Source organism: Homo sapiens, chromosome 1 (genome assembly GCF_000001405.40).
Source record: "Homo sapiens chromosome 1, GRCh38.p14 Primary Assembly".
Taxonomy (NCBI): domain Eukaryota; kingdom Metazoa; phylum Chordata; class Mammalia; order Primates; family Hominidae; genus Homo; species Homo sapiens.
Window position 1 is genome coordinate 89,532,931 of NC_000001.11, and position 20,905 is coordinate 89,553,835.

Here is a 20,905-nt window from a genome sequence, read left to right on the forward strand (position 1 = left end):
TCACTCTGGGCTTCTCCTTGCTTTATTCTCCCTACAGTCCTCTTAAAGGATTGGTAACCAATTTGTCTAGAGTCTATAGCCTTCAGGTCCTTCTATCAGTGCCCTTCCTCTACAGCCCCTTTCCTGCCGTGAGTCTTCCAGGAACACTGCCAGTTATCTTCTAACTGATAATGATTTTGTAGTCTTGAGCATAGTCTATCTGCCAGCATCACCTACAAATTTATTGTCCACACTGCAGAAAGTAATCTTTCTAAAAGACAAATCTCATCCCATAATTGCCTGGGTTTAATAACCCTTTAATGGCTCCCTATGCCCCAGGATTAAGTCCAAACACCATGGTGTGGCATGTGAGAAAGTCTTCCTTTGTCTGGCTTCTGCAGCTCTTCAGCTTCATCTCTTGCCACTCTGTCATCTCTGTGTCCCCAGTGCATGTCCCATGGACACAGTGTGCAGTCATACCCCCATACACCAGCTGTCCTAAACTATTTGCAATACAGGGAGGAAGGTTCTAGATAGCCAGATGGCTTCATTCCGTAGCTTTGTTCCTTCCCTCTGTTTGGGATCCTCTTGACAAGCACAGAACCATCTTTCTAGGCTCCATTAAAGCATACCTTTTCTGAAAGACCCTTCCTGACACCTTCTGTCTGCCTCTCACCCCCACAGCTCCTCATTCCCTCTTCTGTGCTGCTTCTAAGCTATACCTATCATAGTACCTAGGCTAGAGAACAGCTTGGCCTCCTCCTGGATGCTTCTTCATGAAAAATAATATATTTTGTTCATTTCCTGGGATTCCTGGGCCAGACTTCGTACATGGCATACCGTGGGCATGCAGTGGATATCCAGGAGAGAATTAGGGAATACAATTAGCATAATTATTACCTAGTCTAGGGTTTCATTTCAATAACGTACTTTTGACTGGTATTTGCATAAAATTTTAAAGAATATCTCCTTGAAGGTTGGAAGTAACAAGGTACATTATACATGCTGTTGATAGGTATCAGTTGAATAGCTAAAGTACTTTGTCTATGAGCTAGTGTTTATTGAACATTTACTGTTTTCAGAGTTCCAGATTTAGCAACTTGTAGGGGATGCTTGAAATGGCTTTTGTACTTCAATGAAATAATCCTGACTTTGGCTTTCTATTAGAAGTCAAAATTTTACGTGGTTAACACAGGCTCTTCTTGGCTTTCAAGTAGTTTATAACAGTATCTCTGAATGTTTTTGAGTATCCTCTAAAACGATTTTGAAAAACGACTTGTTCTCATATATTTTTAAAGTTAATGTCTGAAATTTTTCATCATAATTTTGAATAGTTGCAGACAGTCACATTTCTATTATAACTATTGGGTTTTAAAAATCACTCTTTTAAATGTACCCAATGGAAGTTAAATTAAATACCAAAGTGATTTGATATCTCACATCATCCGTTTAAGAAACGTATAAATAAGCTCTTTTAGAAAAGTCAGGAATTTTACGTAGATCTTTTTTCTCATGGAACTCATTTTATTCCTCTTCTGTAAAACTTAATCCCAGTGTAACACTGTTATGATTGAAAGTTTTTCATTATCATGTCTTTTGTGACATACACACACACACACACACACACACACTCAGTATACTTGTTTTTTAAAAAGTGCTTGTGACAATAAGGCTCTAAATGTTGAAAAACATTTCTTTTGAATTGTTATTATGATTTTTCACTAGTACACGATTGACCAGAACAACACGTGTAATCAAAGCAAGTGTTTCTTTTTAAATGGAAGTGCTTAAGAAATCTTGCCATATAAATATATGGGAATGAAGTCAGTATAATTCCATTCTATCTTCTAAACCCCTGAGTTATATGCCCAAAGATATCTAGTGATTTATCACAGAAACGATTTTTCAATGTTCTGTTGCTTGACATTTGATTAGGTCTTCCTCCAGTGTTGATCTAAGCAAAGAAATAGAAACTTTACTCTGACTCCCAAAAGGATTTTTCTCAGGCCTGAAAGTCTTTCACTTTGTCAGTATCTGTAATCCTATGGGTATTTCAAAATGGCCTTCTGCTTGGGGCCTGGAGATTTTTACACCCCAAGGCAATGCACCATAAGTGGACTCCTGAGAAATAAGATGTTTGCCTTTCTTTTTTGCTGCAGTAAAAGGGTGAATTTGAAAAGGGGAAAAAGAATATGGCTGGAAAGAGCCAGCAGAAGGGCAGTATGTATTTTGAAGGAGGTCCTCTTAGGCAGGGTTAATTGAGTTAGAAGTAGATTCCACCACATTGTCAATTACTCCCAATAAGACTCCCAAAACCCCATACCCCAGCTTGAAGATCACTGGTTTGGATGCTAAAGAAAATTTTTCAGTCAAATTAGCTATCAACTGTTAGGTCCCTAATAGGCCCATTTAAAGATTCCCCCTTGGTGTACACAGGGATATCCGATAGGGAAAGAGCATGGTTAGAACATATCACTCTTTTGGACCCAGGCATGGTGGCTGGAGCCTGTAATCCCAGCTACTCAGGAGACTGAGGTGGAAGGATGCAGTGAGTTACGATAGCACCACTGCACTCCAGCGAAGGTGACAAGCAGCGAAGAGCAAGACCCTCTTTTATAAAAACAACAATAACAAAAAAGAACATCACCTTTATAAATATACCTAGTAGAAACTAATTTGATACCAAATTGATTTAATTACCGTCATCCATTTTAAGAATGTACAAACTCACCTAGAATAGTAAGAAATTGTACACAATTCTTTGATACCCATTATTAGACTAGATACAAAAAGAACATTAGTTAAAGATAACCAGCCGCTTGACTGACAGTCATCTGGGTGAGTGAGTGACTGGTTTCTAAGAACAAGTCTTAATCCCACTGGAAAAAAAAATGCTTAAGCATTTTATCAAGAAAGCTAATTTCTTGGAAGAGTTTGTGAATTCCAGCATGCAAGAAGGTTTGGTCCTAAGCTAGATTTGGGATTTTTTTTTTCTTTACAAATAAATGCAATTGAGAGGGAGAGGACAACAGTTTGGAGTTGGGCCTGGCCATCACCTTACTGAGTTCGGAGCCTTTCCTGGGGCCCTCTGGGTTTCTGGATGTTCTGTTCCTGTGTAAGAGGGTACTGTATAGCTGTCCGCTGCTCTCTTGCCTTCATATAGCAAAACAACTTGTAGCAAATCTCTGCAGAAACCCCCACCCAACACATCACTTACTATGATAGACATTTGCCCATCAATGCTAACATATTAAGTGTTTATATTCACATTTATTCTCCTGATGACCTGCAGTAGAGGGGACAAGCATTATCCCCATGATACAAACATGGAAACTGAGTTCCTCAGGGGATATGTGGCTTATGTAAGTGAACCACAAAGTTACCAGCAGATATGGCACTCGAATCCTGATAAAGCAGCTTTTTCTATAATTATTGCCTGGCTCCTTTTCACAGGTGTATTATTTTAGAAAAATCTCTAAGGATTGGGAAACTTGCCTTAAAGTGATAGTATGAAGATTGAGATAGATAATTTCATAAAATACCTAGTAGAGTGCATGGCTCTTAGCAGGCCCTAGAGTTTTCATTCAATACATTTTTTTGAGCAGCTAATATGTGTCAGGCACTGTTTACAGGCACAGGGAATAAATCCAACAGAGAAAACAGAAAAAACCCTTTTTGCATGAAGCATATATGCTAGAGGAGGGGAAATAAGCAAATGCAAGGTGTAATGTCATGCAATAAAGTGCTATGAAGAACAGTAAAACAGAGTGAAGGACTAGAGAATGGTTCTTGTTGGGGATTAGGTAGTATACAATCAGGGACAGCATTTCTGGGGTGGGCACTTTTGATACCGAGTATGATGCTCACCTGAGTCTGAGTTCAAACTTTGAGTTTATTTGAGTAAGCTGATTCGAGTCATGGTATTCCAAGTTGTGTGAAAGAAACCTCAGAGGGTACTTTTAATTTTTAACTTTTTTATATTATAGATATACTTGAAGGTCTTTCCCAGAATACACACATACTCATGTGTGTACAATTTCAACATGCCTTGAAATCATCCTTAGAATCCTCAAGCTCATACCCCTGTTCTATTTCAGTCATTCTTTTAACTGGTAAGATACTAAGATTGAGAAAGGCAAAGTAAAAATTTTCCACTGTGTCACAACTAATTAGTGACTGAATCAAGGACCTAAGATTATCACAAAGTCATTTATTGCTTTTTCTATTGAAATGTGTAAGTAACACCAGGTCTGGTAGGGGAGGCTTGAGGCTTGAGTTCAAGGCTGTGGCACTACGATCATGCTATAAATAGCCACTGCATTTCAGCCTGGGCAACATAGCAAGACCCTGTCGCTTAAGAACAAAATGTGCAAGTAGCTAGAGTGTTTCTCCTGATTATTTTGTGTATGCATTGCTATGGTCTGAGTGTCGGTGTTCCAGCAGAATTCAAGTGTTGAAACCTAATCCCAAGGTGACAGTGATGAGAGGTAGGACATTTGGAAGATGATTGGATTGTAAAAACAAAGCCCTCATGAATGGGATTGGTGTGTTTTTTGTTTTGTTTTGTTTTGTTTTAATTTTGAGACAGCGTTTTGCTCTGTTGCCCATGGTGGAGTGCAGTGGCATGATCTCGGCTCACTGTAACCTCTACCTCCTGGGTTCAAGCGATTCTCCTGCCTCAGCCTCCCTAGTAGCTGGGATTATAGGCACACACCACTACACCGGGCTAATTTTTGTATTTTTACTAGAGACAGGGTTTCACCATGTTGGCCAGCCTGGTCTCGAACTCCTGACCTTAAGTGATCCAGCCGCCTCAGCCTCCCAGAGTGCTGGGATTACAGGCATGAGCCACCACGCCTATCCAGGATTGGTGTTCTTATAAAGGAGGTTGGAGGGAGCTTGTTTGCCTCTCCCACCATGTGAGGATACAGCAATAGGGTACCATCTATAAGGAACTGGACCTCACTGGTCACCAAGTCTGCTGACATCTTGTGATCTCAGAATTCCTAACTTCTGGAACTGTGAGAAATAAATGTTTGTTGTTTATTAGCCACCCTAGTTCATGGTATTTTGTTATAGGAGCCTGAATGGATTAAGACATGCATCATTTTTATTTACACAGAGTAAAACCTCCCCAAGTATGTGGCTGGTAGGGCTCCTTGTCCTGTTTACTCTGAAAGAAACTTCACTCTGAAAGAGCATGGTTAGAACATACCACTCTTTTGGACCCAGGCATGGTGGCTGGAGCCTGTAATCCCAGCTACTCAGGAGACCAGTATCACAAGATAAAGAACATTTCAGGTATTCCAAATGTCCTAGAAAATTATGAGCAAGGAGAACTCTGGCTGGTGGCAGGAGAGAAAAAAAGCAAAATAAGAAACAGAGGTCTTGAAGTGGGAAGATTTCTCTTTCCTTATAGATGAAATTTTGGCATGGCAAAGAACAGTTAGGAACTGATAGTGCCTTTGAAGGTCTGAACCAGTAGACAGGAGAGAATGTTCCTCTTTCTTTCATAGAAGCAGTGACTCCCTTAGAGTGAAGTGACTGTCATCCCCCACCCCAACCCCAGTGATTTCCTTTGGGGACATTTTATACAGAGACTTGGAAGATAAACTTGTCACTTTTAGGGAAATACTCATTGTAGTAAGTTATCTTCCCAACCACACTTCCTTAACGGATGTGTCAACTTTTAGTACTACAAAGTAACTAAATATTTTAAGTAGCAGTCATCCACACTGCAGCATGAGTATGTCATTTCCAAAACTAGATGCTGTTTAAAGGTTTAAATTAGCATCTTCGAGGTTTTTTTTTGTTTGTTTGTTTGTTTTTTAGACAGAGCCTCACTTTGTTGCCCAAGCTGGAATGCAGTGACATGATCTCAGCTCACTGCAACCTCCACCTACCGGGTTCAAGCGATTCCCCTACCTCAGCCTCCCAAGTAGCTGGGACTACAGGCACCCACCACCACACCCGGCTAATTTACGTATTTTTTAATAGAGATGGGGTTTCGCCATGTTGGCCAGGCTGGTCTCAAACTCCTGACCTCAGGTGATCCACCCATCTTGGCCTCCCAAAGTGCTGGGATTACAGGTGTGAGCCACCGCACCCAGCCCCTTCAAGGTTTTTAATACATCTGGCTTTAAAATCTCAGAAGCCTAGCAAGACTACCTCCTAGAAACATTGATATTTATTGACATTTTAGGGTATTTTCTATTGTTGCTCTCTTAAAGGCAAAGAAAACCTATTTTTCTAGTTAGAATTACCCCTTAATGCATTGACAACTCTGAAAGAAGAAATTCTAGCCTTTTCTTTCCTAATCAGTGAAAGGCCCTTTCCCCCATATTGCCCTCTCCGCCCCCCATATTTGGGTATTTCTAGCCTACTTTTTCATCTGTATGCCCTGTTACTATGGTGACAGGCACCATAGAAATAGAGAACAAAGCAGATGTAATAAGCATCTCCTACATGGTTTACAATGCTAAAAAGAGATCTAGGATTTTCAGGCGTTGCTTTTTCTTCACTGATGATAGAACTGGACCAGCCCAACATTGTGGGGGTATAGGGACTGGGGTTATGGGCTGATTTGGACCCTACAATTCCCATCGTCTTTTACTTTATCAGTCCTTATTCTACCCAGGAGTCATGAAGGTGAAGAAAGACTAATGGGAGTCTGCATGGAAAGTGTAATATAGAAATTAGGGCCACAGAAACAACACATTGCAAAGGACAGATACTTCTGCTGAAGCATATTCCATTGGAGGGAATCAAGCCAGCTGTAATGTTCACCAGTCATTGATCCTTTTGCTTGATTTTGCATTGTTCAACTTAACCTTTCAATAGAAAGATTTATCAGCTAGGTTTCTCCCACTTCAAGGTACTTAGCCTATGTTAGATTTTTTTTAAATTAAATAAAAATAAATCTGGATTACTAATAACTTGCAATATTTGCTCCTGGCCATTGGGGCCATTGAACTTTTAAAAATAAGTAGTTGAACAGCTAATGCATGCTTATTTTGTGCTTGTTTTAGAATTATAATTAAATATTCAGCAGATATTGTGAAAGTTAGCTTTCCATAAGATCCAGGAGAAATTTTCCATAAATTGTTTTTAACCTTCTACATGCATGTCTATTATTTTATTTATTACATCTTCACGTATCATTTCTGGATATCTTTAATCAATTACCTAAGATTAAATAAAGTGTTCCAGCTACTCAATTCCATCACCTGGACAATTATTTTTAAGTTTATTATTTTTTAAGTTTTATGTTGCTTATATTTTTATGTTTAGGGACCTGTATAGTTTTAAAATAATACTATGTTTAGAATATAAGTTGTGATACATGAATCAAATATTTGGAGCTATAGAAGCTGAATGATCCATGTGTCCATTACATTGTAGTATGAGGGCCTGAAACTCCTTCTACCTCTAAATTCTTGTTTCTTTGCCTATGTGGCTCTTTTCTTTTTACTTGACGAGCAAAAGAAGTATACTTTGCCAATTTTGTTATCTGTTGTAATGGCCCTAACAGTGATGTGAAAATATGTCTGAATCAACCCCACGCTTTGAGTTTTAAAAAACCCACACAGTGTAACCTTCCCCAGTCATGTCAGCTTTTCCCCTTTGTGACACGAATGAAAGAACAAGAGCATTGGAGTGGGAGTTGGAACAGCCAGTGCTGACCGTGGCACAGCCTCTGCCAGGGGTGAGCTTGGAGATACATTTATATCTCTATACAAAGCATACAGCTTCCTCAGGAAGAGCCCAGGAGCCCCAAGGAAGGTTTTGAGAGATTATATCAGATTAGTTTTGGGAAGTAACACTGGCAACTGTGTGGAGGGTGTGCTGAAGATGAGAGAGATCATATTGCGAGACCAAGTAGGGCAGTGGGATGAAGTAGAGGAGACTAGTAGAAAAGTTAGTTTAGAAAAAAGTCATAGGATTAAATATTCTATTTCCTTTTATCAGAAGATCCTATGGTAATTACTTAAGTCAAACTGTGATTACTGACATTTTACTAGTTTTACTATAGCTTCTAACTTTTTCAGAGAAGGAGTGGATTAAGTTTTGAACCAGATGATTTGGGGTCAAATTGTCAAATTTCAGGTTACCAGTGAGTGTGCTTTATATTAGCACAACTTTTTAAATTATAGCTTCTAAACATTTATGTCTTCTGACTGGAAATGGGAAAAGATTTGGGGGAAGTACTATTTGTTCTATGGAAGAATAATGACACTTTGCACAGGAGAGGTTTGCTGAAACCAGGTAATCCCTCCAGGCAGCTTAGCTCATTGTCTTCCAGAAAGCTAAAAAATTATGGGCTCATTGGGTAAGGTTTCTTGGCCTAGAGAGAATAGAGGTTGTATTTGTGAGGAGCTTATTCTTTCATGGATTGCTGTTCTCTAAAACCTCCTGGGCAGAGAGAGTTCCCATCACTTTTGATGTTGTCATCACTGTGAACATAGAAAGTAGACCAGGTAGAGTTATTTCTATTTTTATCAATTAAAAAGCTGGCTTTCTGGCCGGGCGCGGTGGCTCACGCCTGTAATCCCAGCACTTTGGGAGGCCGAGGCGGGCGGATCACGAGGTCAGGAGATCGAGACCATCCCGGCTAAAACGGTGAAACCCCGTCTCTACTAAAAATACAAAACATTAGCCGGGCGTAGTGGCGGGCGCCTGTAGTCCCAGCTACTTGGGAGGCTGAGGCAGGAGAATGGCGTGAACCCGGGAGGCGGAGCTTGCAGTGAGCCGAGATCCCGCCACTGCACTCCAGCCTGGGCGACAGAGGGAGACTCCGTCTCAAAAAAAAAAAAAAAAAAAAAAAAAAAAAAAAAAAAAAAGCTGGCTGTCTGAGAGACTCCATAACTTGGCTAAAGTTAAGGCAGATGGTAGGCAGGATAAGAGTTCAGTCTCCTCCATCTTTTTGCTGACTTCTACTCTACCACATGCCTGAAGTAGCCACCTTCACACATTCTTCAGAACAGAAAGCATTGACTATACCAAGAATGAAATTTTCCTGATAATTTTAGTAACTGTTCTCTTGATATAATGTACAAATTATATTATTTAAATGACTAATTCACAGATTAAAATTTTTTAATGTAATATATGGCTTTTACCTTTAAAAGTTGTAAAATCCTGGGAGCATTTGAAACTTGAACACAAACCCAAGGCTACTCTCGTGTACCAAAAATATGGAACTAGACAGAGACCTCCTGGCCTTGAACATGTCTTGCTTTCATGACATCTTGGTTATTATTTATTTCTGCACCTACCTTTAGCTAAGGGACTAGAGAAGAGTGTCATCTGCTAGGGCAAGCTTTTGAGCTCTCTGGCTCAGTTCTCACAGTGGCTCAGTCTCCTATGAGTTTCAGAGTCTTCAAGGTGGTTCCTCTACCTGCCCCACAGCATCTGAAGCACTTACTGTGATTATAATAAAATAACTGAGGATTTGTTTAATCTTTGTCTCTGTCACCAGACTATAAATTCCATGAGGTAGAGATAGCACCTGTTTGAGGACATCATGGGTTTTGTTTATTTTGTTGCTTCTCCAGGGCCATTTACCACATAACAGCCACTAAATATTTACTGAATGACTGAGTGAATGAATGAATGAATGAATGAATCCATGTTTAGCCTGTTGTTCATTCCATGGAGCTAAGCTACTTTTTATTTTTCTCAGAGATCTCTTTGAAGAATATTCATATTGATGCTCGTTTTACTATTATGAATTTACTATTTGTGCATGTTTAGATAAGTCACATAACTGTCTCAGTTGCCAATCTGTAGTGGAGAAAATCTCATGGGGTTGTTGAGAGTTTTAAATAATTTATATAAGCACTTATAAAAATACTTAACATAAAGTTATCTCATCATGAGTATTGGCATCCATTATGGTTATAATATACAAGCATATTCAACTACTTCAACCTCACATCAGCTACTTGTTAGGGCCTATGTGTCCTCACACTAGACTTGTTTTGTCTTATGTACTGGGGGGACCTATTAAGGCAAGCTCCACCTGATTTATCTTTTGTAAGTTGTCAGTTCAGTTAACTAGACTTAAATTTACTTTTTCCTGGTAATTTTTAAAGTAGGGTCAAATTACTTAATGATGAAAAATTAGACTTGCATAGTTGTTGATCTAATAAAAGCACTATTGACAAAATAGAAAAAATTATAGCTGTCTCAGGACCAGATCACAAAAGCCCCTAAATTTTCGTTATAGCCTGAAACTTGTTCAATCTTCACATTTTCTGAAATTCAGCCTTATTCAGTAAATAGACAAGTAAAAGAAAACTATGGCCCTTCACATTTTTAATGTATATTTTGAGACATGTAGACTATAACCTTGAAAAGTCTTTTATGCTAATTGGTCATCATGGGTAACAATACTCAAAGTATTCAAAGTAACATAAGTCTAAGGTATAAATTCATATTTCATTTGTTAGGAGTCTAAAACTTCTTTGATTCTTTTTCTGTTGTGCATGAAGGTAACAAACGCCAGTGAGTGGTAGTTTTCTTATTATAAAACAATCTATTATACAAGAAAAAATTTATTCTAATATTATCTAAGTTTTGAAAAACTGATTTTTTTTTTTTTTAAGTTGGAGTCTTGCTCTGTCACCTGGGCTGGAGTGCAGTGGCACAATCTCAGCTCACTGCAACCTCTGCCTCCCGGGTTCAAGTGATTCTCCTGCCTCAGCCTCCTGAGTAGCTGGGAGTACAGGCACATGCCAGCAGCCCTGGCTAATTTTTTTTTTTTTAGTAGAGATGAGATTTTGCCACATTGGTCAGGCTGGTCTCAAACTCCTGACCTCAGATGATCCACCCACCTTGGCCTCCCAAAGTGCTGGGATTACAGACATGAGCCACCATCCCTGGCCATTTTTTTTTGAGTTGGGGTCTTGCTCTGTTGCCCAGGCTGGAGTCCAGTGGCACTGTCATGGCTCACTCCAGCCCCGATCTCCCAGGCTCAGGCTATCCTCCTGCCTCAGCTTCCTGAGTAGCTGGGACCACAGTTGCATGCCACCAAGCCTGGCTAATTTTTATTATTATTAATTATTTGTAGAGATGAAGTCTTGCTATGTTGCCCAGGCTGGTTTTGAACTCTTGGACTCAAGTGATTCTCCCTCCTTGGCCTCCCAAAGTGCTGAGATTACCATCATAAGCCACTGCGCCCAGATGATTTTTAAAATCTCTATAAATGTCTGTTTATGCAGAACAAGGTGTAAGAATACATAGTTATTTGGTGTGTGCAGTAGGGTTTCATGAGAAGGGAAGGGAAATGAAGGAAGCTATTGTTCAGTAGTTTACACTTTTGATTCTTATTGTTTTCCTCTCTAGTAACATCCCAGAGATGTTACACATGGTAAAGTCGTAGTAAAAAAAAATTATTTCTAAACAAAATGTTTCTTTCCCTAATGAGATTCTGGTTTGGGTGCTTTATTGTCAGTGTGCTGGGAATTTTGGAATGTTCTCTGTGTATTTCTATGATTTTGACCTAATAATCTCATTTGGATTTACCAGGCTCAGCAGCTGTTGTTTTTATCGACTATTGCTAAGTCATATTAATGTCCAAAGTTGAAAAATCCTTTTCCTATGTTGGCCTAGATTATTCAGAGTTTTACAAAATTTAAGCCTTTTCTCCAATGCCTGTAATTTTTATTTGCTTGTAAGAAACCTTATAATAATAATAATATCCCAGTGGGTACTTTAGATGGGCTAAGCCTATTTGCAGATCTCTCGCAGGATGGTAGTGAAGTTTGCAGGATGGTTTGTAGAACAGTGCTTTCTTGATAAATCCATCTATCCTCTTTTCTACTGGAGGAAGAAAAAACCTCAATTATATTGACTTTAAGTACTGTTTGATGTAACATGATAGATCTTTGCAGTTTGATATGAATGATTTTCCTTTGGAAAAGCAGAATGCAAAACTGAGAAGTCAAAGACATTGAGAATGTCCTAGGAGAGCATAAACTCAAAATTATAACCATTTTATTGGATACAATTGGAAAGTTTTATTTGAAGAGGAAATCAGATGTTGAATTTTGCCTTTTAATTCAATTTTTAACGTAATAGGAAGTTTTCTTACATAGTTGAAAACATATATTGCTTTCTTTGTAATTTCTAATTTGTTTAATTATAAGGCAGTGGTTTTGAGGTCTAAAAAAGATACTAGGTATGCTGTTACATTCCTCCCAGGGTGAGTTTTCTTGATTCTTAATCCCATCTGATCTCTGCACTATCACATTCCCTTTTTTCCTGTTGGGAGTTTAAATTTATTCTCCTTATACATTTAGGATTCAAACCAATAGCTCTTCTTGTTGTCTAGTGATATGGTCAATGATTTCTGCATTTACAGGTAAAGATGAGCATCAACAGTGTACTTTATCAGTTATAAAATCATCTTTACATAATAATCACATTTGATTCCGACAATTTAGAGAGGGAGAGAGGAAGAATGACTGAAATTAATTCCTATTCCTCAGAGAAGTTACACAATATACCCAAAATAGCATGTAAACAGAAGGGCAGGACAAGAACCAGGCCTTTTAGCTCTGTGTCCAGTCTTCTTTCCACCCTGTCATACTGTGTCTGCATGCCCTGTCCAAGGCATTTACCAAGACATTTCCCACATACAGAATTTGGTTAATATGCTGAATAAAATTGTTGTGTCAAATTTTAATAAACTCTATAAAACCAATTGGATATCCTTTGGTTCTTTCCCTGTTAAACGTGAATTCTTGCACTATATGTATGGTGAGAGAGGTTTCCTGCTTTCAAGGCCAATGACAGTGAGTGTTCAACTTAAGAGTTAAGAACAAGAAGACAACAATAAGACAGATGTCCCAAGAAGGCATATGACTCACAAGTTCAGTGGAAACATCGTAGGAGGTGAGGCTTGCAGGATGTGATAAGATATGGAAAGTTGAAGAAGGGGGTGGACGGGAAATGTTTGAGCAGAGGTGTATAGGAAAGAATGTATGCAGTACTGAAATCATTGCGGATGAAACGATACATCCAGGATTTGCTTCAAGACACCTGGCATGGGTGTGATATGAATTGATCATTGTTGGAGCTGGGTAAATGGTATATGGGGGACCCTTATAATATTATTCATACTTCTATATACATTAGAAAATTTCCATAGTAAGAATTTTTTTTAATAAAAATGGTATATTATGTGTTTTTTGAACAATAGGTTAGGCTAGCCTATCAGAATAGAGAGCATGTTCAAAGGCATAGTAGGAAGGGTTGGAAAAGCGGCCTGGTACCAAATTTGATGGTGGGGGAGGATTTGTGAATGTATGCTGTGGAGCCTTGGTGAGTGCTAGTAGGCACTGGTTCATTGGTTGGACTTGAGTTCTGCTTGACTGTGAGCCCAAAGTGGAGTTGCAGTCCAGTGTTGGCATCTTATCAAGAATGGCAGTAACTCCACTTTACCATCTGCTTCAGGAGTGTCAGATCTAATGTGCCATATTCAGTTCTGGAAGGCACATTTAAAGAGGACTTTTTGCGAACCAAGTTTCAATGGTGGGATATATCAAGCACGGAAGAGTAACTCACATCTTCTTAGCCATCTTCTTTCTGTCAGAACACTCCATCAGCTCATGGTTGTCTACCTGGAATAGATGTATTTTCCCTTCTTCCAAGTCTCTCTACTACTCCCTTTCAAACTCTTTGTCTTTTGAGAGCCAAAGAATAGGCAATAAAAAGCAAATTAAACACATTGCTGTGATTCCTTAGTGATATGAAGGTACATAATCACAAAGGCATCTGACTCAACCTCCTGGCAACAGACTAACAGCTGACTGAGCTATACCCAGAAAGGAGCCCTCAGTGTAGCTTTCTGAAGCAAAGTTCCTCCTCCTTCTTGCTGAAGCTATTTCTCTATAGCTAAGTAAAAAAGACAAGAGATGTATCAGAAATTTGGTTAATTGATAATATTAAGGAATTGTTAATTATTTGTATATGATTCAGTAATGATTCTAGAGCTGACACACATAAGCTTGTGAAAACTGATTGTTGTGTTATAGGAATTTTCAAGCTAGTTAAACATAGTCATTAAAAACTAAATTGTACAAACTTAAAGTACTAAAAGTAAAATAAATACTCAAAACTCTCACTTCCTAATTATTTTGCTATAATTTGTTGTTATCTATGCTCTTAAGGTTATTTATGTCTAAGGTATCTGCAGAGTAGAAGTGCTGTATAATGATGTGTGACACATCTCTTCTCAACTCCACATTCAGTGACATCATGTTGGTACTTTGAAATTGGCCATGGTGGGAATCATGGAAAATGGCAAAGAACCAGGGTCCTTTTTTTTTTTTTCTCAGAAACCTGGTTGTTAAATATTTACCAGCATGCCACTGGATATTATTATGATATTATGGTTATATCTTAAAGACTCTTTCTGTTTTAGAGATCCATACTGAAATAAGACAGAATATATCTAGAATCTGTTTCAAAATAATCCAATGAGGGTGAGTATTGTGGTGTTGAATCAGAGTGGTGGGCAGATGGGTTTCATTGCACCACTCTCTCAACCTTTGTGTATGTTTAAAATTTTCCATAATAAAATGTTAAAACAGCAATTATGGAATGTTACAATGAAAATAAATTGCCTGTACCTAGTAGACATAGATAGCAATCCAGTCTGGCACCTGTCTTTCCTTCAAACTTTGATGCCAACATTCCTTTGATAAAATCATATTCTCAAATTTTGGAGCACTTATTTTGTAAATGGTTCACATAGGTCATTGATTTTAAAGATCTGTTTCTCATTAAATAAAATCAAGAAACCACCATGTGCAGTTTATCATGCCCATCAGGGCAAAGGAATCCACTAGAGCCTTCCCAAGGACAGCAAAAAGCTTTCTTCATAGTGGGCGGGGAGGGGAGGGGGTGCGGGGCATTCATTTGTTGGATTGCAATCCTGTTTGCAAAACCAGTTGTACAAATAGGGAAAAATGAATCAAGTAATTGCTCAGAAGGCTACTTGCAGCTACATGACAGCTGTGTACCCTTTAGATTTATTTTCAGTCTAGCTGATTTGAGTCATTGCCCAAAAAAGGAGTGCTGTCAAGTGAATTGTCTTTTATGCAGATGATGACAGCCTTTCTAAATATTGCCTGGCTGATATAAGTGATTTGTTTGGAATTATTGGCCTATGAATTAAATTAGTCCTAATCCAAATGATTTTAAAAGTTCTCGCTTAGATTATATATTGATTACATTTCACAAAGAGCACAAAATAACTATATTTTTTTCTAGCATATATTTAGACATCAAATGGAAAAGCTATAGCATGAATTACTCAGAATACATCTTTTTTTTAAGTTTGAAGTTTTAATTTCATTCTTAATATCAATTTGGAGTATGGTAATAGTTTCTCCTTGGATTTGATTATGCAATAATGCATACAAACTAAATCCAGTTGACATGGAAAAATATTTATGTTGTGTAATGAATGCAAGTGGTCACTATGATTATCCCATCAAACAGAGTAGTGAGGAAATTATTAGGTTTTATAATGAGGACAGAGAAGGACAATCAGAACCTTGAGGGGGAAAGTAGTCTATTCTGTCTTATAATATTAAGTTAATGTGAGTTTCTGGTCTGTGTAGAAATACAGGCTTATTCTCTTAAGGTAACGACAAAAAAATTCAAAGCCTCAAGCAATGAAAACAGCAGATGCAAACTCAGGTTTGTTTTGACCCCTCAGTTTTGTTTCACCCTGGGCTGAAACAGATACTGCAAATAGGAATTGAGATCAGGGAAGCCAGAAGTCAGAAGAGTGTGTGTAGGAGAAAGATCATTATAACTTCTCCTCATAAGACAGAGCTGGACAGAAAAATCACCTGGAGAAACTGGGAGCCTTTGTTGACACTTTGCTGCAGTTTTTCCCATGTTAATTCCTTTGTACCAATACCCTTCAGGGCTCTGCAGGGTCCCACCACAACATACATTCTGAGAGTTTGTTTGAGGCGTATAAATACAATAGAAGTCATAGTTCCAAATTAAGTTGGAGCATGAAGATTGGGGTGTGATTGCTAAGAAAAAAGGACATATTAAGTTCCTGAAGTGAGATAATCACAGACTTGTGATTATTCACTCAAAAACTATTTACTGAGCCCCTACTATCTGGGCTAGGTGATGGGATACCACAGTGAGCCCTACAAATAGAAGCCCTGTGCTACCAGAGCTTACTGCTTACTGTGCAGAGAAAAGTGATAAACAACATAAGTATATAGTACATTAAACGGAGACAGATAATGTAGGAAAAACAAAACCAGAGCAGTTCTTCAAAATTAAATTCCCAAAGGATAACATTTTCCAACTCTATCAAAGCTAGCAAAGAGAGGAGATTGGTATTTATAAAAATACAACACATACCACATCAGAAATTCCTTCATGTTTCTATTAACCCTGTTGATATGCTAAATATATTCACTATCTCTACAACCATTAGAGAACAAAGTAAAGATGAAGTAGCTTGGAAAGGGAGCAGCTCTTTAACACTGAAGTGAAATGAAAAATATGCCCTTATGTTTTGTTAGTGAGTTGACAGTTCATGATCAGGAAGACAATGAGCACCTGCAATAGGGAGGCTGCAAGTTATTTTTAAAAAGAATGTCTTTGATTGCTTCCAATTCTATTTATCTCCAGTTGGACAATCAAGTAGAAGTCATTTGAAGAGATGTTTTGTAGTTATGTGGATGCGGATTTGCATATGTGGGTGTTTTCGAACATATAAACTTTTAATGAATTCAGTCATCTTCATAAAAAACTAAATTGTCCCAACTTTAAATGGAAATATTCTGGAAGGAAGGTATTAAATGAGTTCTTTTATATGGGAGATGGACTGAGGCTGCATTGAGTTATTTATTTTAAATAACTTTTAAAATTTTACCAAGTGCAGGTCTTTAAGTCCAACATTGGCCCAAGTCTTCAGCAAAAACAGCTTAACAAACTCATTTATATTTTTTCCTCTCCCTAGGGCTCCAGTTTGTGTTTTCAGCTGCCTACTAGACCTCACTACCTGGATGGCCCACAGGTACTGCAAACTCAGTGTTTTAAATAACACACTCATTAGCCCCCTTCATCATTGACCCTGTGGCCAAAGCTAGGATAAGTCACTTGTCCTTGAGTCCTGACTCTCCTTAACATCTAATCTGCTACCAAGTCCTTCTAAGGGATACCTAAGGAGCCCTAGAGTCTATGCCCATAAGCTAGTTAGCAGAGAACCTGCTCGAAAGCACTTAAAAGTAATAGTAGTACTTTTGCTTCTATCCCCTCTTCTCTTCACACTCAGGCACATCTTAGTTCAAGCCACCTTTCCTGTTTATCATCTGGACAATTGATCTATCCTGATCTCCTCCCTATGTGTATTTCTCCTTTTTAACGAGTTGTTCATGCTGCTACCAAAGTGGCAAATTCTAACTTTTTAAATTTAAGATTTGACGCTGACTGGATTAAGTCACTCCCTTTCACAAATACCTTTTTGGGTTCAATAGAATGGTACCTGTGTCTCATTAGGTCTGGACCTAAATGGCCTTTTCATCTCACCTTCTTCAGCTTTCCCGCTAGGTTCACTTGCGAGAACAGTACTCAGTCAAACCTTAGCTATGCCAAACCTTTAATAAAGCATAAAAGATTAATTATGTTAATTATTAGCCTTGCTTTGATATGAAAGGGCAAAATTCACCAGTTAGCTCCTTGGTCTTCCACTGAATATTGGAATATTAACTAGCACTTTATAACAGAGCCTTTCACCAGCCCAACTTTACTGCTCTTCCCTTTTCCCAGCTCTCTAGTCAGCCAGAACCCACAGTTCTGCCTAAATTCCTTCATTCCTGGTCAGTCTCACTGATACTACCATGGTCTTCACTCTCACTGCTTCAGCATTGAATGACTGCAGTAGGTTCCTGCCTGGTTTCCTTACCTTCATTTCCCCCGGCCCCCGATCCTGCCCCATTGTATCTCTCATGCCTTACCAGGTTAGTTTTCCTAAAATATTGCTTGCATTCTATTTTAGAATCTATAATTGTTCTCTTTTGTAAGTCAATTCAAGCCATACTCTCATATTCTGGAATCTCCAACCGTAAATGTCCTCACTGCCTCATTTATTTGTGAAGTCGTCCCCCTCTGGCCGTGAAGATCCTCTGCAGCCTCACTGCTCTTCCTCAGGCAACACCCCTCTGCTCTTTCCCTCCCCACTACCCCGCTGGAGATTTTTTTCCTGCTCCAGCCCCTGCATATCCCTAACGGCTCAGAGATACCTTATCTATGTTGCCTTCTCCATTCCCTGAGCTATACCTGTTCATCTTACAAGAGGAAGCTTTGGATGGTTGGAAGAGCACCATGTTTGGTGTCAGTTATAGGATCAAGCTCTTGCTCACCAGCCATGTGTCATCAGCAGCTAATTTTTTTTCTCTCTGAGCTTGTATCCTTATCCTAAAGTCAAGTGTATGATTTAAATGACTATGAAAAAAATGCTCCATAAACTTTTGAGCATTATATAGATGTTCAGAGTTGTTCCACTCCACTATTTAATCCTTCATTTTTTTCCTGTTCACTTTTTGTACAAATTTCTCATTTTCCTAACTTTATAAGTGTTTTAAGGATAGATAGAAAATGAAATATACTTTCTTATCTTATTCAGCCCATACCACAGCAAATGCTCAATGAATTCTCCCTGTCAAGAGAATTCAATGAATATAAATATAAAGGATCAGGCTCTGTGGTGAAAGTGCAGTATTTGATAAAGTGAGTGAGGGAGTAACAAGAAAAGAGGGTCCCCAAAGAAAACGGGACTGACTAGCGGTCTGGCCTGCCTCAATACTTTTGGTGCGTCCACAGACAAGCTCTGAATGAGACCCACTAGCCAGGCTCTTCAACCTCTTAACACCATGGCAATAGAATTGACTCAGTTTCTTAAGTGTGACACTGTTCTTAAAACATAGTAGGCTCTCAAGTGTTTCTAGAATTCACTAGCCACATGATTTGATTATTATATATATTTATATACATGCATGTACCGTGCTAATAGATTTGTCTGTCACTGCTTATTTATTCATAGTTTTTTTTCCTTTTACATTTCATTCTTATACAGAGCAGCAGTATGTCTGCTTTGTCTGCAGAGTAGCACTAATATTCAGATTTGCATTGTGTTTGTGCAGTGTCTAATAGGGGCTACCTGATCACTTGCTGAAGTCATAGGTAGTTCAGGAACTACCTTCTTATTTAGATTGCTAGGACATTTTCATAAGAATATTGTACTGTATATAATACTAAGCTTACTCAAATCCTGCTTAAAATTAAAAATAAGTATAAAGAATAATAATTAGTAAATGAGAATATATTCTGTTTTTGCATGGTGTCTTCTAGCCCCTTCTCCCACACCCAATCTCCTTGGAATAAGAGATATGGTAATGGAGCCCAGAAATTCATGATCCTACTTAGTATCCATCTTAGCAGAAAAATGTAAACCATAGTGAGTTTTGTTTGCTAACACTATCCTTAGACAATAAGAATAATCGTTAGGTACTTATAATAACTCTCACTATGTTTAGGTTACTGAGTCAGTTAAAAGCAGACTAATCAGTAAAATACATTTTCTGGTTTTAGAGAGCTTATAATTTACAATAGATTAAAGGGAATGACAGTAACCACAGAAAAATAATTAAGAGAAATGTGATTTACTTGTTACCTAAGAAGCAAAAGATACATTTTTCTCCAAAGTAAGTCATTAAAGATTGCAATCGTTTATACCAGAGTTGATTTACTAGCATGAAAATGATTGCTTAACCCTGCTCCCTGTGTTCACCAGGCGGGTTGGTGAAAGCTTGTGTTTCAGATGAGCCAGCCTGGCTACAGGAAAAGATATTTGCATAGAAGACTGGGGACACTGCCACACAAGAAAATGAAGAATTATGCTTTTGAAATTCCTTTTATTACTTCCTTGATTAAATTGTTGTTTCCAAGGGAATTGGATTTTCAGATGAAATTTTAATAATGCTTCAGATAATTCCAATTGTGTTCTTTCATTTTACTCTGCTTTCACAATATGATCATATTTGGTTTCACTTCCTGGTTAGTGCACACAAGCCTGTTGCTGGGAAATATTTGAATAAAATGTTTATGAGAGAAGACTATTGTTTCAAAGTAGAGGAAGGCATTTTTGTTTGATTTAGACTTAGTTCATGTAGTAATTTTTATAGAAATAAAATTTCTGACATGTAAATTGGTTAAAAACACTCTTTAAAAATAATTTAAAAGACTTATTTCGCACTGAAATTAAGTTACCTTGTGGTGAAATCATCTCTTCTACAGAAGTGTTTGATTAGGTACCAGTTGTGCAACAAATGAAATGTTTGTCCATAATTAGAGTAATTGTAACTTGATTTTAAACAGAGGTTTGATTGCATGGTGAGTGTCATAATGCCAAATGATTTTTCCATTGATTCAGGGCCCAGTGTATTCTTAAGTTGATGTTTGATCTCAGCATGTTTAACCTGGCCCAGAATATATCTGGCACCCTTTTGTGTGTGTGTTGTAAATGACTGTTCTTCTGTGTTACAGCTTCATACAAAATCTTTGCCTATTCTAAAAGTGGTATTTTTACCATTAAGTATTTAATTCCACCAGAGTACTCAGGTATTACCTAGTCTAAAAAAGTACAAATCAAATTTATTTCTCTTTGGAAAAAGTCAGTTAAGAATTTCAGGAAACGTCTGCTTCCTTAAAATCTAATTACTTTGTCCATTTGCATCAGTTTACTGGCTAAATCTGAAAGTTTAATTTTTTAAAGCGTAACTATTTTTCTACTCAGAATTTTAATTTTGAAGTCCATTTATGTTTTATTTCTCAAGGTACCTAGATATATACCCTAATATAAAATTAGGCTTCCTGCTGTCAA

General features: G+C 38.0%; 1 protein-coding gene and 1 long non-coding RNA gene across 6 annotated transcripts in view; one reads left to right on the forward strand and one right to left on the reverse strand.

Annotated features, from left to right (window-relative positions):
• LRRC8B (leucine rich repeat containing 8 VRAC subunit B) overlaps positions 1 to 20,905 on the forward strand; it is a 73,033-nt gene that overhangs the window by 8,102 nt on the left and 44,026 nt on the right. For 2 of the 4 annotated variants that reach the window (NM_015350.4, NM_001134476.2), the window contains exon 3: positions 16,985 to 17,041. The exons of the other annotated variants lie outside the window; for them this stretch is intronic. The gene's annotated coding sequence lies outside the window, so the exon portion shown is untranslated. The remainder of the gene's footprint in view (positions 1 to 16,984; positions 17,042 to 20,905) is intronic. 4 annotated transcript variants of the gene reach the window in all.
• LOC124904216 (uncharacterized) lies at positions 13,201 to 17,959 on the reverse strand. Of its 2 annotated transcripts, none has more exons than XR_007066214.1 (3): positions 17,930 to 17,959; positions 17,554 to 17,621; positions 13,201 to 13,604 (listed from the first exon to the last, which is right to left on the reverse strand). It is a non-coding gene; the product is annotated as an uncharacterized LOC124904216 (long non-coding RNA). The 2 variants fall into 2 exon arrangements; XR_007066215.1 differs by lacking the exon at positions 13,201 to 13,604 and adding an exon at positions 13,817 to 13,878.